A 16,069-nucleotide genomic window follows, 5' to 3' on the forward strand; every position below is an offset into this window, starting at 1 on the left:
TATCCTGGCTCTGAAATTCCATTATAATATTATAAAATACTATAATAATTGTTGGAGATTATATGACATGCTTTAAGTGATAATATTTAAATTTGAACCTTAAATGGAAGTATATGGAAAAATTTTAAAATTGTTTGTGGTCATCTTCTTTATGAGATTTCCAATACCAATGTAAAAGCTGTATTTTGAAGCATGTATTTAAAAGTAAATATTTTTGAAAGGTATTTTGGCATTTTAGGTATCGAAACTATTTATAACATGGCCCATATGTCATATATCTACATTCAAATGTTAAATCATGCAAGGAATTTTTTTAAGGAACAATTAACTTTTTATTCCAGTATACATTCAATAAAAATGATAGTTCACAGAAGCAGAATAAGATATTTTAGAACCTAATACCCTAGTCATCTAATATCTTCCACTATTTAAAAACATGTGCAAGATTAGAAGAATATTTTAGTCACTAATTACTAACAGTAGTACTTAACATTGATCACTGGGGTTAATGCCTATTCCAAATAATGTTTGCGTGTTAATGTATTAACTGAAAAATGTGATGGCTTACCTTTTAAAGTAAATCATTGTTATTGATGTTTTAAAACATCTTTTCATACCAAAAATTTATGTATATGTATGAGGTGATTGACAAGCAAGTGTTTTTTTTGTTTTAGAAAGACAAGATCAAATTAGGAAATAAAATGTTTCTAAATGGAAATGTCAAAGTATATAGTCAAAAAATAATATCTATTCCATATTGCTTTCTCTAAAGTAGCCAGACTGCTCTTGTTCTAAGTAACATTTTAGTTTAGGGGTAGAGGATGTGGCGGTATAGTCATTTCAGTTTGGATGAATACCCTTTTTTTTTTGTTTTTGAGATGGAGTCTCACTCTGTCACCCAGGCTAGAGTGCAGTGGTGCGATCTTGGCTCACTGCAACCTCCACCTCCTGGGTTCAAGCAATTCTCTCCTCAGCCTCCTGAGTAGCACCTGCCACCACGCCTGGCTAATTTTTGTATTTTTAGTAGAGACGGGGTTTCAACATCTTGGCCAGGCTGGTCTTGAACTCTGACCTCATGATCCACCCGCCTTTGCCTCCCAAAGTGCTAGGATTACAGGCGTGCGCCACCGCACCTGGCCGAATTACCCTTTTAATACACAATATAATTTAAACTTTGCCTGTAAACACTTTTGCCAGTGTTTTACAAATACGTCTTGAAAATCTGTTGTGGAAAATGTTAAGTGGCACTGGTTATCATGCAGAATATAAAGATGAATAAAATTAGTTTTATCTTCTATGAATTTAGAGAGTAGTAAGAAGATGTTTGCAAATAATTGCTATAATAGATAAAATGTGTGGTGTCAGAAGTTTTAAAAAGTAAAAAATGGTAGGACTATAAAATGTAAGAAATATTTTTCTTTTTTTGGTATTTTGGTATTAATATTGTGTTTGGATGTTCATTCATATAGTGATGTTCCCTGGGTGTTCCTTATGATGTTTCACATTTATTTCACCTTTTTCACATATTTGGTTTATGTTTTCACGATATGCCTATATGTGTGTTTATAAGTTTGTATAAACATATGCATGTAAGTATATGTACTTGTGTATTTCTATAAGCCTATAAGGTAATATATAGTAATTTAAGTTTTGTATTCTAGTTAATTTTAAATTATATCTTTAAATGTTGGTAAAATACAAACCAATAAATACAGATGATTATTGTGATTTACATATGAAAATCCAATGAAATAAACATTAAGTAAAATTTTTTGTTTTAATTTGGATTATTGTTAGAATGAGTTTTTTAATTAAAACTTTAAAAAGCAGTCACCTGAGTGCTAATATTCTTAGCTACTCAAAATTTATTATACTTTTGAGAATATTGCTTTAAGAAAAATACAGCTTTTTATGTTCCTATAGCATTTGTACAAAATGCAGTAGGAGTGGAATCATTATTCTAAATTGCATAAGTACAAATGAAATGGAAGAGCACAAAGCATATTTCAGTTCTTTTTAGGAAAAGAGTCTCTAGTGTAGTTAATATATGCAATAGCTCAAGTACTATCAAATGTAAATGATGAGGTGATATTGATGAAAGGAGGGGATTGAGGTCTCGGGGGCGCTGATGACGGATTGAACAGAAGCGGCCTTGCACTGCACGTAACTCAAGTCTGTCGTCTTCACTACTCAAAGCCATAATGGGAGGTGGCAGTTTGAAATGAGTTGCCACGGCAAAGAGTATTATTTTTGAAATGCTTTCACACAAATCACTAGGCCCTGCATACAACTTAGTTTCATGCTTTAATGTCATCAGGAGGCACAAATTGGTGTGTCTAATTGTTTGCCACCTGCCAGCAAAATGAGCTGCCAGCCAGCCAGACGGGTTTGATTGTCTGTCAGCCATTCAATAGATTGAGAGTGACAACATCAAAAATTTAACTTCAAACTCTGAAGCTTTGAGCAGCTTTTCAGAGACATCATCCCCACAAGTGCTTCTGGACCAGTGCATTTTTCAATTATACTTCCAGGGTATTGCTACCATTTGCCTTATCTGTCTTAAGGTAGCTATAATTACATTATGAGGTATATAAACATGTTTCTGAAGCACTAATGTCTGAAATCCAAGTTATGACATGTCTTTTAACATCAGATTGAATTCGTTGAAAATGAGATCCAGGATGACAGGCTTTAGAATGAAAGTCCTGAATGCTACCGGTTTCAAACACAGAATCTATCATGGGTCTTACTTTACCAATAACGTGTTTTTCATTTTAATCTTTAGTTGAAAAGTAGATATAAACTCAGTTGGTCGCTTCTTTGTAACTAAATCACACTCCTAATAATATTGTACAGTCTCAATAGAATTCATGTAGGATTTTACTTTTGTTAACCAGTTGTTTATTGATTATATTGCAGACATGCTAACAATGATTTCCTTATACTTATCCTGGATTTTAAATTTGGAAATAATTTCCTAGAACAACTGGGATAATTTGAGTTATGTTAACTTGTGTTCTACGTCGAGTGTATCTCACCCCTTAGGATGGAGCATTGGTGAATTTCAGTGTTTTGAAGTTTATAATAAAAAATTGCAACATCAAATTCTTAGAAACATTTAGACTTAATTAAAATAAACCTTTTTTCTTTACTATTACATATTTCATCAGATTATGAAATATTACATAAATGTTCTGTACATATAAGGAAAGTACTGATTCTTTTTCTATTTCCTTCAGTCATCTGTGCAGATTAAGTATATATCTTTGATTATACTCAGTGATCCGAACAGATGTGTACTCATGAAGTATTAAAATGCTAGAGATCCTCTAGTACTGTTCTATAATGAGCAAACACTGTATGTAAAGAGGAAATACAATCATAAAACTATAACAATTTTTTCAAAGTTCTGTTACTGTGAGGCAGAGAGAAATATTTATGATGGTTTTATTTTTAACAGAAAAGCTTAATAATCTCATTTTAGAATTCTTAAATCAAGTTGCCAAGTTCTCTAACAATACTATCTCTTTAGATAGATTGCTATATTTATCGATGGTTTATAAAATGTTTTAATTGAGCTATTATTTTTCATGTACTGTGTAACTTTTACTTTGGAGTAATGCTTTTATCTAAAGCCACCAATTAACCTTTTACTTACCTTTTAAACTAAAAATTTAATCTTATATATCTGCATGCTTTTTATCTTTTGAGTGTTTGGTATATATATATATCTATGTTTTGGTTTAGTTTTAACTTCCTAGGATTTCCAGAGATTCCCACTTAGTTTGAACAAAAGACAAAAAAAAAAAAAAATAGAGGGCAATGTGCTTCTCATACATTTTTAACTGTTAGTATGTTTTTAAAAATTGTTTTAAGTGTGTGATATCACACAAAGCTTATAGTTGTGTTGCTTCTTTGGCTAACAGACCTCAAACTTACACTTCACTTTTTCAGATTTTGCAAACCTCCTGTATTCAAATTACTGGGTTTGATATATTCAGGGAAACTAGTAGGTATTTTTTCCTCAAAATTTTAATATCCTTGCTTCCCAGTGTTTAATTATCTGAAAAAGAAAAATCTATTTTGTAAATAATATAGGGCCAAAAAAGCAACTTAGATAGACTTCATATTATTAACCATGAAGTATAAGCTTGAGCTAGGTATTTTCTCTTTAGTTTCATTAGTATTCTAATATTGATATTAGTGGTAAGGATGAAATTTCAGGGTAAATATTTTTAAAAATATTGAGTAGAGTTAATGAGGTCTTATGTTGATTTATTTAAAGTTAGAATTAAGTAACTATGAAAAATTATAATTACTTCTGAAGACTTCAATTTGTTCTTATTACTATTTTTTTAAAAAAGTATTTTGACCCTATCACTTAAAAGATGAACAAATAAACGTAAGCCAAATTGATTATTCATCTTCCAGCCTTTACAATTGAAATTTTCTACATCTAGCCACTGTAATTTCTGCTTTTATTATGCTGCAAGTGCCCTGAGTATATATTTTAAGGTCAATTGCTGGAAGATTCAGTTTTGACTGAGCATGTTTGTGTCCTCATTTCCCCAATGTTGTTGACTTTGTGTCTCCTGGCATTTATAGAGAGCTGAATAAAGTTCAGTGAGCTGAATAAAGTATCTCTCATTAATAGGTGATTTAATGAGATTCTTTATTGTTTCTTAAACATATTTTTTTATATTGCAATTCTCAAATATTTTACAAAATAAGGAAGCATGATAGATAACATCATGAGAGCATTCACCTTGCGATTTCTGATGAACTGAAGTAAATTGTCATGTTATCCTAGAATCAGTAACAAATTATTTTTCTCTTTTAAGTTTCAACGTTTTCTTTCAAGATACATATTTAACATCCACATCCTAGTTAGAGAGTGATAATCTGGAAATTAGGGGAACTGGATATTAATAGTTGGTCTCTCTTCAATTTGTTCCAGGACCTTGATCCATTCTTTTTGGCTCTCTGGAACTCAGTTTCCCAACCCATATAATATGATATAAAGCTACATGATTTCTAAAAAGTCTCATAAATTTCCAAAATCCTATTTAAATGAAATGGGCTTATTATTAGTCCCCCAAAGCAACAGATAGATATTTTCGAGCTTGGCTAAAAGATTTGAATCCCAGAAAAGGTGCATCTCCATTCTCAAACTACATTAGCCCCTCAGCGTCTCTAAGGTGGATTCTTTCTGTTACCTCCTAACTGCCCTCACTATTTCCATGTTTCCTCTCTCACCCCAAATTTATCTTTTACATTTATGCCATAGACATTTTTCTAAAGTGTGAAGCTGATGAAAATTCTGAAATAATTCTTGTTATTTATATAATAAAGGAGGATTATTTTAGTTTGGAATAGAAAGTCCACACCTTTCACCAGCCAGAAGTATCTAAAGCAATTCCTTTAACCTACCTTGTTTTTTCATGTCTCTTTGCCTTGCTAGGTTTTTACTATTAAATTTTTGTATGCACTTTTCCCTACTTGGTTAATTTCTATTGATCCTTTTCATTTCAGCCCACTCTTCCTTGATTGTGCACAGCCTGTGTTCCTGAAAGGTCCTGGGCATAACTCTGACCAGGTCAATTATTGAAATATATTGCATGGTCAGTTTGTGTGTCATATTCCTTAAAGTATCTAAGGAATATGCCCCAGGGCATGGGGCATGTATTATTTGTCTTGTGTCTCCCAAACTTAGTGTAATCCCCTGTTAGTGCTCAAACAGTAGAAGGGAACAGAAAGAACGGGATTCTTATAGTGTGCCATGAATAATTATAAAACTCACTTGCCTTAATGAGTCACTGTTTAAAAGCTCTTTCTTATCTTCAGTATCTCCGTTTGTACCTAGGATAAACCATGATGTACACAGATAAGATAGTATCCCTGTTTTTACAAAATTTACCGAACTGTTTAATGGAGACTGCCAATACCCTATCCTTATACCACTTTTCCTGTCCCTTTGCATTCACTTCTTTGGCCATCTCATCCACTCTCCTGGCATTAAATAGCATCTGTATGCTGATGACTCTTATATTTATATCTTAGTTTGAACCTCTTTTCTAAACTAGAGACTTATCTATCCAATTGCTTATTCAACATTGCTATTTGGATGATTAAAAAGAGGTATAAAAAATTAGTATAAGAAAGCTGCTCCAACCATATTCTTCCCTATCTTAGTTAATGGCAACTTGTCCTTTCTGTTACTTAAGGCAAATTTTTTTGCATAATCCTTGACTTTACTCTCATGTTCACCTCCAGTTCTTATTTAAATCTTATTTGCTCTGCCTTCTTAATATTGCCAAAATTTGAATCACTTCTCACCAGGTTTTACTTTGCTATTCCACTCCAAACCACCATCATTTCTTGTTTGTAGTATTGTAGTCTCCTAGCCATTCTCCACAGTAACCATTGTCCCTCCTAAGACTATCTGTGACATAGCAGCCAGAGTAGTCCTATTATAACATAAGGTTATATCCTTCTGTGCATAAGCCTTCATGGTTTCTCATCCCTCTCTGAATAAAAGCCAGCATCTATACAATGGACTACAAGGCCCTGTGAACTCAGCCCTCTTACTTATCTCATCTCTTACAGCTCTCCATGTCACCCAGTATTCTCTTGTCACACTAGCCTTTGTACTGTTACCTCTGCCTGTGATGCTCTTCTCTAGATAGCCTCCTGGCTTATTCTTTCACCCCCTTCAGTGTTCTCTCAAATACTACCATTTTTTGTCAATCTTCTCTGAGCCGCCCTTTCAACATTATTCCTTCTTCTTATCTATGCTTTATTTTTCTTACAGCACTTAACATCTGATATACTATATTTACTCATTTATGTTACTGTATTTGCTATATCTCTGTATTGAAATGTCAGTTCCATGAGAGCAGGGATTTTATTCTATATATTGCTATATCTCCAGAACTTACGTCAGTTCCACACACATTGCAATGCTCAATAAATATTTGTTGAATGAATGAGTGAATGTATCACCTCTAGCTTTGAGATAGGATAAATTCAATGATGGAAGAATTCACACTTACATGTATTACTTATTAGTCAATTTATTAAAATCATATAATCAATTAATGAAATATTTTATCAAGTGAATTAGATTGAAATATGTCCTGGCTTATACCACTTTGATGATAACTTTTACAACCTTGGAGTGTGTATAGATTCTATGTAGTATAAAAGAATTATCCACTTTCTTGTAGTTAAGAGTCTTAAAGATGTGTGATAGAAGTTTGAAATTGTGTGGAAAGCATAGTATTGAGATTTTTTAAAAAATTCCATTGGTAAGGAATATGTAGAATAGAGCAGGGGTCCCCACCCCTGGGCCATGGACTGGTACCGGTCTGTGGCCTGTCAGGAACCAGACAGCAGGAGGTAAGCAGTGGGCAAGTAAACAAAGCTTCATCTGCATTTACAGCTGCTCCTCATTGCTCGCATTACTGCCTGAGCTCTGTTTCCTGTCAGATCAGTGGTGGCATTGGATTCTTCTAGGAGTACAAACCCTACTGTGAACTGTGCATGTGAGGGATCAAGGTTAAGTACTCCTTATGATAATCTAATGCCTGATGATCTGTGACTGTATTAGTTTGTTTTCACACTGCTGATAAAGACATACCGAAGCCTGGGAAGGAATAAAAGGTTTAATTGGACTTACAGTTCCACATGGCTGGGGAGGCCTCAGAATCATGGCAGGAGTGAAAGGCGCTTCTTATATGGTGGTAGCAAGAGAAAATGAAGAAGCAGCAGAAGTGGAAACCCCTGATAAACCCATCAGATCTCATGAGACTTATTCACTATCACGAGAATAACACAGGAAAGACCGGCCCTCGTGATTCAATTACCTGCCTGCCCCTAGGTCCCTCCCACAACATGTGGGAAGTCTGGGAGATACAATTAAAGTTGAGATTTGGGTGGGGACACAGCCAAACCATATCAGTCACTGGTGCCAAAAGCTTTGGGGACCACTGGAGTAGAGGATTCAAGGTATCCGTCAGGATGAATAGCAGATCTAAAAGAAGAGCATAATACCTGAATAGTTTAGTTCAATGGCTCTTAACCTTTTTGTGGCTATGTATGTTTTTGAAATTCATTAAAAACTATATGTTCACTCTAAAAAAATGTTTTTACCACCAAAATTTGTATATATTTTAGTGTATTTATCTACCCTAAATAGGTTACCCACAGTAGGTACCTAGACTTCTAGGTAAGATTTTTTTGGTGTAGATGGAATAGATAGCCAGTGTGAAACGTTGTGTAACAATCTGATAGAAGATTTTATAAGAGTTGAAAATTTTTACTCTCATATATGAATAGTTGCTAATACCAAGTAACATTTTAAAAGATAATTAATTTGTTATCAACACATACTGGTTAGTGTGGACTTTCAAATTAATTGTAAGATTGATTGCTAAGAAAGAGAATGGTTTGAGATAAAAGGGAAGGGGTAATGTTGGTGAAGAAACAATATTAAGGACAAGAACGTGCAGTCCTTTAGTCCTAGATAAACAGTTTGGCCATCTGAATCAAAGGGGAAATAGTTCTTACAAACTCATAATGTAGGTGCAGAAAAAGATCGGAGAAATCGGTCAAATACAGGTTCCTGCTTCTCTCAACTAAACCCTTGTAACTTGGTCATCTCAGCCATTTGAACACATAAGTGATTAGAAACTGGAATTCATAAAAATTATCAGAGATTTTTTTCTTCTTGTTGGTCCTAATTTGGTATTCTGAAGTACATGGAAGTTTCATTTTGTTTTCTTATCAGACTTTCAGATTTTTTAAAAATGCTGTAACTTTTTCTCACCCTTTTACTGTAATTTTCTGTCCTTTCAGCCTTTCCTCATATGACTTGTTTTCCAGATCAACTGTCATCCTAACTGTTCTCTTAGGGACATGATTCTGTTTGTCATTATCCTTGAAATATAGTGCCTAAAACTACACGTATGAGATATGACAATAGCAGAGTATATGAGGATTATTGCTTCTTTCAGTCTGGGTATTTTTGCTGATATAGACCCAGACTATATCAGCACTTTTGGGAGCCATAGCAATACTCGTAATAGCTAAAATGTATTGGCTGCTTAGAATATTCCATGGACTGTGCTAAGTACTTTATATGTGTTACCTCCTTTTATCTTTATAACAATCTTATTGCACCCTTTTATAACAATCTTTATAGCAATCTTAAGTTTATGATGATATTACCATTATGCATCTCATTTTAATGGGGAGGAGAATGAAGCTTAGAGAGATCTATGTGCCCAATACCACGTAGTAACTGCTGAAGGTAGAATTCTAACCCGGGTCTGTAGGGTTAGAATTCTGTGCCATACTGTCAAACTCTGCTGAGTTTGCAAGCAATGAAATATCTGGAGGCTTTCACATCAATTGCTATTAATTCAGTGCTTTGAGATTTTTAGTAGGCATTTAACCTGTCTATATTTTACTTATAAGTCATAATTATGGGATTTAGAGATTTTTTTTCTCTCGGTCTCATAACTTATTTTTCCTAATATAACTTATTTCTCATAGCTTCCACATTAGACAAGATACCAGTCTGTTACAGAGAGCTTTTGCTCAAAGTTAGTAATGATCAACAGATCAGAAATTTATAGTAATAGTTTTTCTACCTTCTGCAAATTCATCTCATAGCACTGTTAATTAGCTCATGATTCTTTATCCATAAATAAACATCTTTGTGTCTGCTGTTCTAAAAAAATCATGAGAGATGCAGAAAAAAGAGCATTATACTTTCACTAATGACTTATCTTCAAATCGACAGTTGATGGTTTTGTTTTCTTGCTGGAGAGTCAATGAAATAGTACATCTCACATTATTTTATAAGTTTAGAGGAGAATTTTGATAACAAACTCCAAATATTGGCAAGTTCCTTTTTTCTGTTGATTTTTATGTAGATCATTATAAGTAGATGCCTTATATCTCATAGACAAAAATATATTTCACTTTAGACAGTGGTAATGATTATTAACATTTATAATACACTTCATAATTGACAAAGTCCATTTAAATATGATCTCATTTAATCTCCCCAATTGTATGCGAAGGAGGTAGCATTAGTCTTACGATTTTACACTCAAAAAAATGTAAGATCATACAGTTTGAGAGTGGTCCAGTTTTCAAGCCTTAGTTTTGAAATATAGTCCACATCTTATATTCTTTTCTGCAATGTCACACTACCTCTCAATGAAATAAACGAAGGCATTAGATGAGGACTTGCCAATATAGGGAATGAAGGCATAATGTGTGCTTTAGGTAATTAGATAGATAGTTGAGAATTAAAGGTTGAGTCTAAAGAATTTGACACCAACATGCTTAAAGAGAAAAGAAGAAAGTACCTAGAAGGAGATAGTGAAGAAATTTTTTGGCATGAGTAAAACTATTTAAGATTATAATACCTTAATTATATTAAGGTATTATACAAAATGTTTTAAGTATTTCTAAAATTAAGAATAATAATTATTACAAATATAGATTATTAACATTAAAGAAGTCACTGAAGATATTAACAAAACCACTTATTTGTGGAAAAAAAAGTGTTGATATTAAGGAAGTTTAAGCAACAAACTTATTTGAGAAAGGACCATTGATGTAGTTTTCTTTAGGTAGATTTTTTTCATTGAGTAAGTATGAAATAGAGATGCATTAAAAAGATGTAAATCAAGTTGGATATTTTAGTACTGTCAGTTACCAGTTTCCAAGCATTACATTTGATTAAAATAGATCATAAATCTATTTGTAGATGAATAAATTCTGTGATGGTTGAGTAAGGTTTGGAAGATATTTGCTAAATGAAGTTTGCAGTGCTATAAACTTTGAGAAGAATGAACCTTTACTGCAAGAAAATTTAGATATTTATTAAGTTAGAGAAGTAGTTTCTTTATACATTTTTAAAAACTGACTAATATCCATATTTATTTGTCATTTAACCTTAACACAATGTCAAATTCAGAAATTTTTAAATGAAATACATTTAAAATACGCTAAAGAAACCTGGGGAAATGTTGAACTCCTCTGTTAAAGAAACCAAGGCTCAAAAGTGAAATAAACTTCTAACCAAATGTCTCTCTATCATCTCTGTTCTCTTTCATTCTAATAATATTCCTACTATAAAAGCAACTCAATTTTGTTCAGAAAAATAAAGCATAACTTTATTGTGCTCTTAGAAGTTTATTTATTATTCCTTGGTTTAATTTTCAGCTTTACTATGAAGAAGCTTTAGAATTTGGCATTTAAAGTCTGGGCACGGTGGCTCACGCCTGTAATCCCAGCACTTTGGGAGGCCAAGTGGATGGATCACCTGAGGTCAGGAGTTTGAGACCAGCCTGACCAACATAGTGAAACCCCGTCTCTACTAAAAATACAAAAATTACCTGAGTGTGGTGGCACGTAGCTGTAATCCCAGCTACTTGGGAGGCTGACACGGGAGAATCACTTGAACCCAGGAGGCAGAGATTGTAGTGAGCCGAGATGGCACCACTGTGCTCTGCCTGGGTGACCGAGTGAAATTCTGTCTCAAAAAAACAAACAAACAAAAAATCAAAAAACAAAAAAAGAATTTGGCATTCAAATGTTTTATGTTTTTACATATTTATGAATATTTTAAACATGGAGAATGTGATATGGGTAAGATGGACATTTTTTATGTATATTTTGCCAAAAATTCTATGTGCAAAGGCAAAATCTCCTAACTTTAGCACAAATTTCTTAATATTCCCAGATTTATGATCACAGTCCATTTGCCATCTTAAGAAAGGTTTGCAGACTCCTAAGTCTTCAAAAATGTTGGCCAAATCAATTAGGCAACACACTTTATAATATATCCTTAATGTCCATATCCTTTCCACTGACAAAGCTGGACTAAGGAGTTTAAAATTTTTTTTTAATTAAAAGAAGAGAGGGAGAAATTCGATGTTGACTATGTATATCTGTTGCAGCAGGATTATAATTCATCTTCAACCTCATGTTTGTTATTTTCAATCCTTCATTTCTTTGCAGGAGTGTTGTGGTGCCTGTAAAGAAACCACCTCCAGGTAGTTTAGCTGTAACCACTGTGGGAGCCACTACTGCTGGAAGTGGGCTGCCAACAGGCAGTACCTCTAATATATTTGCTGCTACTGGAGCTACACCAAAAAGTATGATTAATACAACAGGTATTGTACTTACATATTTTTGTGATACTCATCTTTTTATGTTTTCTGTATCATTTTTCTGCTTATTTGATCTTAAAAATTAAAATACCCTAATCATTTAAGATTATCTTAATTTTTAAGAAGGTTATATTTTATGTTATGACTTTTAGAATTTGTCTGTAGTTGTAGAGTGCATTTTTTAGTGGTCATTTTAGAGGACAGTATTGGTTTTGAGTCTTCTCAAAACAGTGCTGTTTATTTTCAGAGTGAAATCAGATTACTGAAAGATATTTGGGGAGCAGAAGCAAAGGATAATTTGAACACTGAAGTTTGATATGTAAAAATCAGTAAAATGTATCAAGAATATCAAGATGTACTAAAAATGTTAGTGACAGAAAGTAGATTTGGGGACATGATTGGTTGAGTTCTAATATATATTCTTTGCTAAATCCCCTAAGGGAGGCAGAGCTCCCCTAAGAACCTTGACGATATGCAAGCGCCTCAACTTGATAAAAAGTGCATGTGAATAAGAACCATTGTTTGACGTTGAATTAATTCATATACATAGATTATAACTTGATCCAATTCATTGCCCAACAAATTCCTAATGAATCTAGGAACAAAAAATTTCAAATCAATTACAAATATTAAAAGTCTGCCTAAAATAACCTTTTTTTTTTGTAAATTTCCAGAAATGTTCCTGTTGATTATTAGCTAAATAAATCCTTACCCAAATCTTTGTGATTCCATTTTAGGTATTTATACAGCGCAAGATGATCCCTGACTTTTCTTCCCTGACTATAGTAGTCTTCTCTTCTCCAAACTGTATAGCCTTGAACTTTTCCATTTATTATCATTACTTAGATTCTTCCCATTTTTATTAATTTCATAGCTCTTTTTTGTGCTTTCTGTATCTATCTTGTTTATCATACCACCTGAGTCTGACATATCATGAACAACACATTTATGGGGTTGTAGTAAGTAGAATGTACTCTATTAAGAATATTTATATTGGCAAATGAATGTCATTAATGGCATTGTGTCAAAGAATAGACCATCTATTGTTTACCTGTATTATAAATAGATATTTCTATCTGGCTTGTCTGAAGACTTTAAAGTCTTTCCAGTATTAGAGTTTCATTCTTTATACTCATTCAGCTTTCTAGAAATAGGAGTAAAACTGTTTTTCTTTTACTAAAGTATATACGTTAAAAGTGTAAAGGTTTTAAAAATATGAATAAAGTCCTTATTCTTGTTAGGAGTTAGGCAAATGCAAAATGAAATCACCTTTTTTATTTTTATATGAGACAAGTCATGATGTTTTCTTTTTAATTTCTATTTTAAGAATTAATAATATGGAAAGTGATGGTAGCAAGAGTTTTGATGATAATATAAAGTATATAATATTATAATGAGAAAAATGTAAGTGATAAACTTCTTAAAAGTGTGTGTGTGTGTGTGTATGTGTGTGTGTATAAATTGTGAGCCAACAGCTAAAGACTGGGCATACTGTTCATTTCAAATATTGGCACATAGGTGCTATAAAATGTTATAGTGGAAATCCCAGTAAGCAATTCAGTTTTATGGGAATTAGTATAAGATAATAATATTTAGGAACACTAGATGTCCCTCAACTCCACAGCTACTTAATATACTTACGTGGCATATGATAGAAAAATCTTTACTAAAATGGCATCTTTATATCATTGAGGGAAGACTCATTATTTTAAGACCAGGTACTAATGTAACTCATTATAGCCCTTCTTAAGCAGTGATCTTATCAAAAGGAGCATTAGATGCTTCAGTGCCACAAATTTACGCTCAGATAGTTCACTCCAAACTATGTCTTAAATGATGAAAACCAAAAATATTACAATGTAGCTATAAAAAGATAAGTTTTTCACCCCTAAGTTTGCATTGTTTTATCAGCATCATTTTATCGAAAAATTTTTTCATTTCTTGATGTTTTTTATTTATACCCCATTTGTAGTATGTAGTTTTGTTAGATTAATGTAAGTAAATCAATTAGATTTCAATGCAACATCTGTTATATAAAATTATGTTCATTAGCATACTTACTAATGGCCAAATGATTAATTGTCAAATTCGGTTTTGAAAATCTGATGAGTAATTCTTTCAAAATCAGATAGTAATGGTGTAATTAAAATTTTTTTAAATAAATTTATGTTTAAGGCTAAAAATTATTATTTTGGGAACAGGTGCCGTGGATTCAGGGTCCTCCTCCTCTTCCTCCTCTTCTAGTTTTGTGAATGGTGCTACTAGCAAAAACCTTCCAGCTGTACAAACTGTTGCTCCAATGCCAGAAGATTCAGCTGAAAATATGAGGTATGCATGACTACTTTTTATTCATTTTAACTCTTTTTAAATGTAGTGAAACAGTACACAAAAATACAAAAATATAGAAAGAGTTCTTGAGAATGAAGGTTAATTATTTTGTGATTACATTTCACAATTCTGATATTTTTGGCTAGTTATTATGTAAAAATCTATGATATATTTCGATCTAAGCAGAGATCTTCAGTGATTTTAAAATGTTCACTGTCGTATAGTGTATAGTAATTCACTGTCATTTAGTGCATGTTACTATTTCCGGTAAAGGTTAAAACATGTACAAATGGTAACATGATAAAATTGGGCATCTTTGGGGGGTGATAAAAAGTTTAAAATATAAACTTTCAGGCTAGGTGTGGTGGCTCACGCCTGTAATCCCAGCACTTTGGAAGGCCGAGGAGGGCAGATCACTTGAGGCCAGAAGTTGGAGACCAGCCTGGAAAACATGGTGAAACCTTGTCTTTACTAAAAATACAAAACTTAGCAGGGTGTGGTGGTGCACGCCTGTAATCCCAGCCACTCGGGAGGGAGGCTAGGGCAGGAGAATCACTTGAACCCGGGAGGCAGAGGTTGCAGTGAGCCTAGATCACACCACTGCACTCCAGCCTGGGTTGACAGAGTGAGACTGCATCTCAAATAAATAAATAAATAAACAAATAAACAAACAAACTAAGTAACTTTCAAAATAAATCTACAATGTTATATATAACATCATTGGAACTTGAATAAGCAAACATTACCTTATCTGTCATGATTAAAGACCATTCCTAGAAGAGACTGGCCCTCATTCTTGGAGTAAGATTGTGTATACGTGTACACACACACACACACACACACACACGTATGTATTCACAGTTTTTATAGAAGTATAACACAAATATAGAATATAAAAGCTTATTGAAAGAATGAACACACTCATCATCAACAAAGTCAACAAATAGACTGTACACCAGGAACGCCTACTTTGCACTTTTTTCCCAGTCACTGTTCTTGCTTTTCTTCCAATTCCTTACCCTGACTTTTAATACTAAGCTAGTTTTGTCCTTTTTGAATTTTATGTAAATGTAAGTACATCCTATGTATTTCTTTGTCTCTGGCTTCTTTTGTTCAACATTATTTTTATGAGATTCATCTACTATTGTTGCATATAACGAGTTTATTCATTTATTCTCCTTTTATTTATTTATGTGTCTATACCATAATTTATTAATTCATTTTACTGATGATGGGCATTTGGAATTTTCCATTTCTTAGTTATTACAAATAATACTGCTATATAGATAAGGCCACTTATAATTACTATGAGTATACTACTATTACATGTGTGTACTGCACATTAATATGCATATTTGTTAGATAATTTGGAGTGTAATTGCTGATTCGTAGTGTTTGTATATGTTCAGTTTTACTAGATAATGCAAAATGGTTTGCAAAAGTGGTTGTACTAGTTTACTAACTCAGCAGCTGATTATGAGAGGTCTTGTTGCTTCATATCTTTGATAGGACTTAGTATTTAGTCTCTGTCATTTTAGCCATTTTGGCAG

At 32.9% G+C, this 16,069-nt stretch overlaps 1 protein-coding gene across 13 annotated transcripts in view, besides 1 other annotated feature; it reads left to right on the forward strand.

The window, feature by feature from the left end:
* NBEA (neurobeachin) overlaps window positions 1–16,069 on the forward strand; it is a 730,467-nt gene that overhangs the window by 254,391 nt on the left and 460,007 nt on the right. For 10 of the 13 annotated variants that reach the window (XM_047430271.1, NM_001385012.1, XM_006719803.4 and 7 more), the window contains 2 exons: window positions 12,040–12,194; window positions 14,393–14,519. In XM_047430271.1, the coding sequence (XP_047286227.1) occupies window positions 12,040–12,194; window positions 14,393–14,519 (282 nt within the window). The remainder of the gene's footprint in view (window positions 1–12,039; window positions 12,195–14,392; window positions 14,520–16,069) is intronic. The other 3 variants (XM_017020544.2, XM_017020545.2, XM_047430269.1) reach the window with 1 other exon arrangement.
* Window positions 1,475–3,623: an enhancer, noted in NCBI's record as "VISTA enhancer hs1330". NCBI's record gives its function as "enhancer in: neural tube[3/4] | hindbrain (rhombencephalon)[4/4] | midbrain (mesencephalon)[3/4]" and the evidence as "EXISTENCE:transgenic organism evidence [ECO:0001131][PMID:17130149]".

This window comes from Homo sapiens, chromosome 13, assembly GCF_000001405.40.
Source record: "Homo sapiens chromosome 13, GRCh38.p14 Primary Assembly".
NCBI classification, from domain to species: Eukaryota; Metazoa; Chordata; class Mammalia; order Primates; family Hominidae; genus Homo; species Homo sapiens.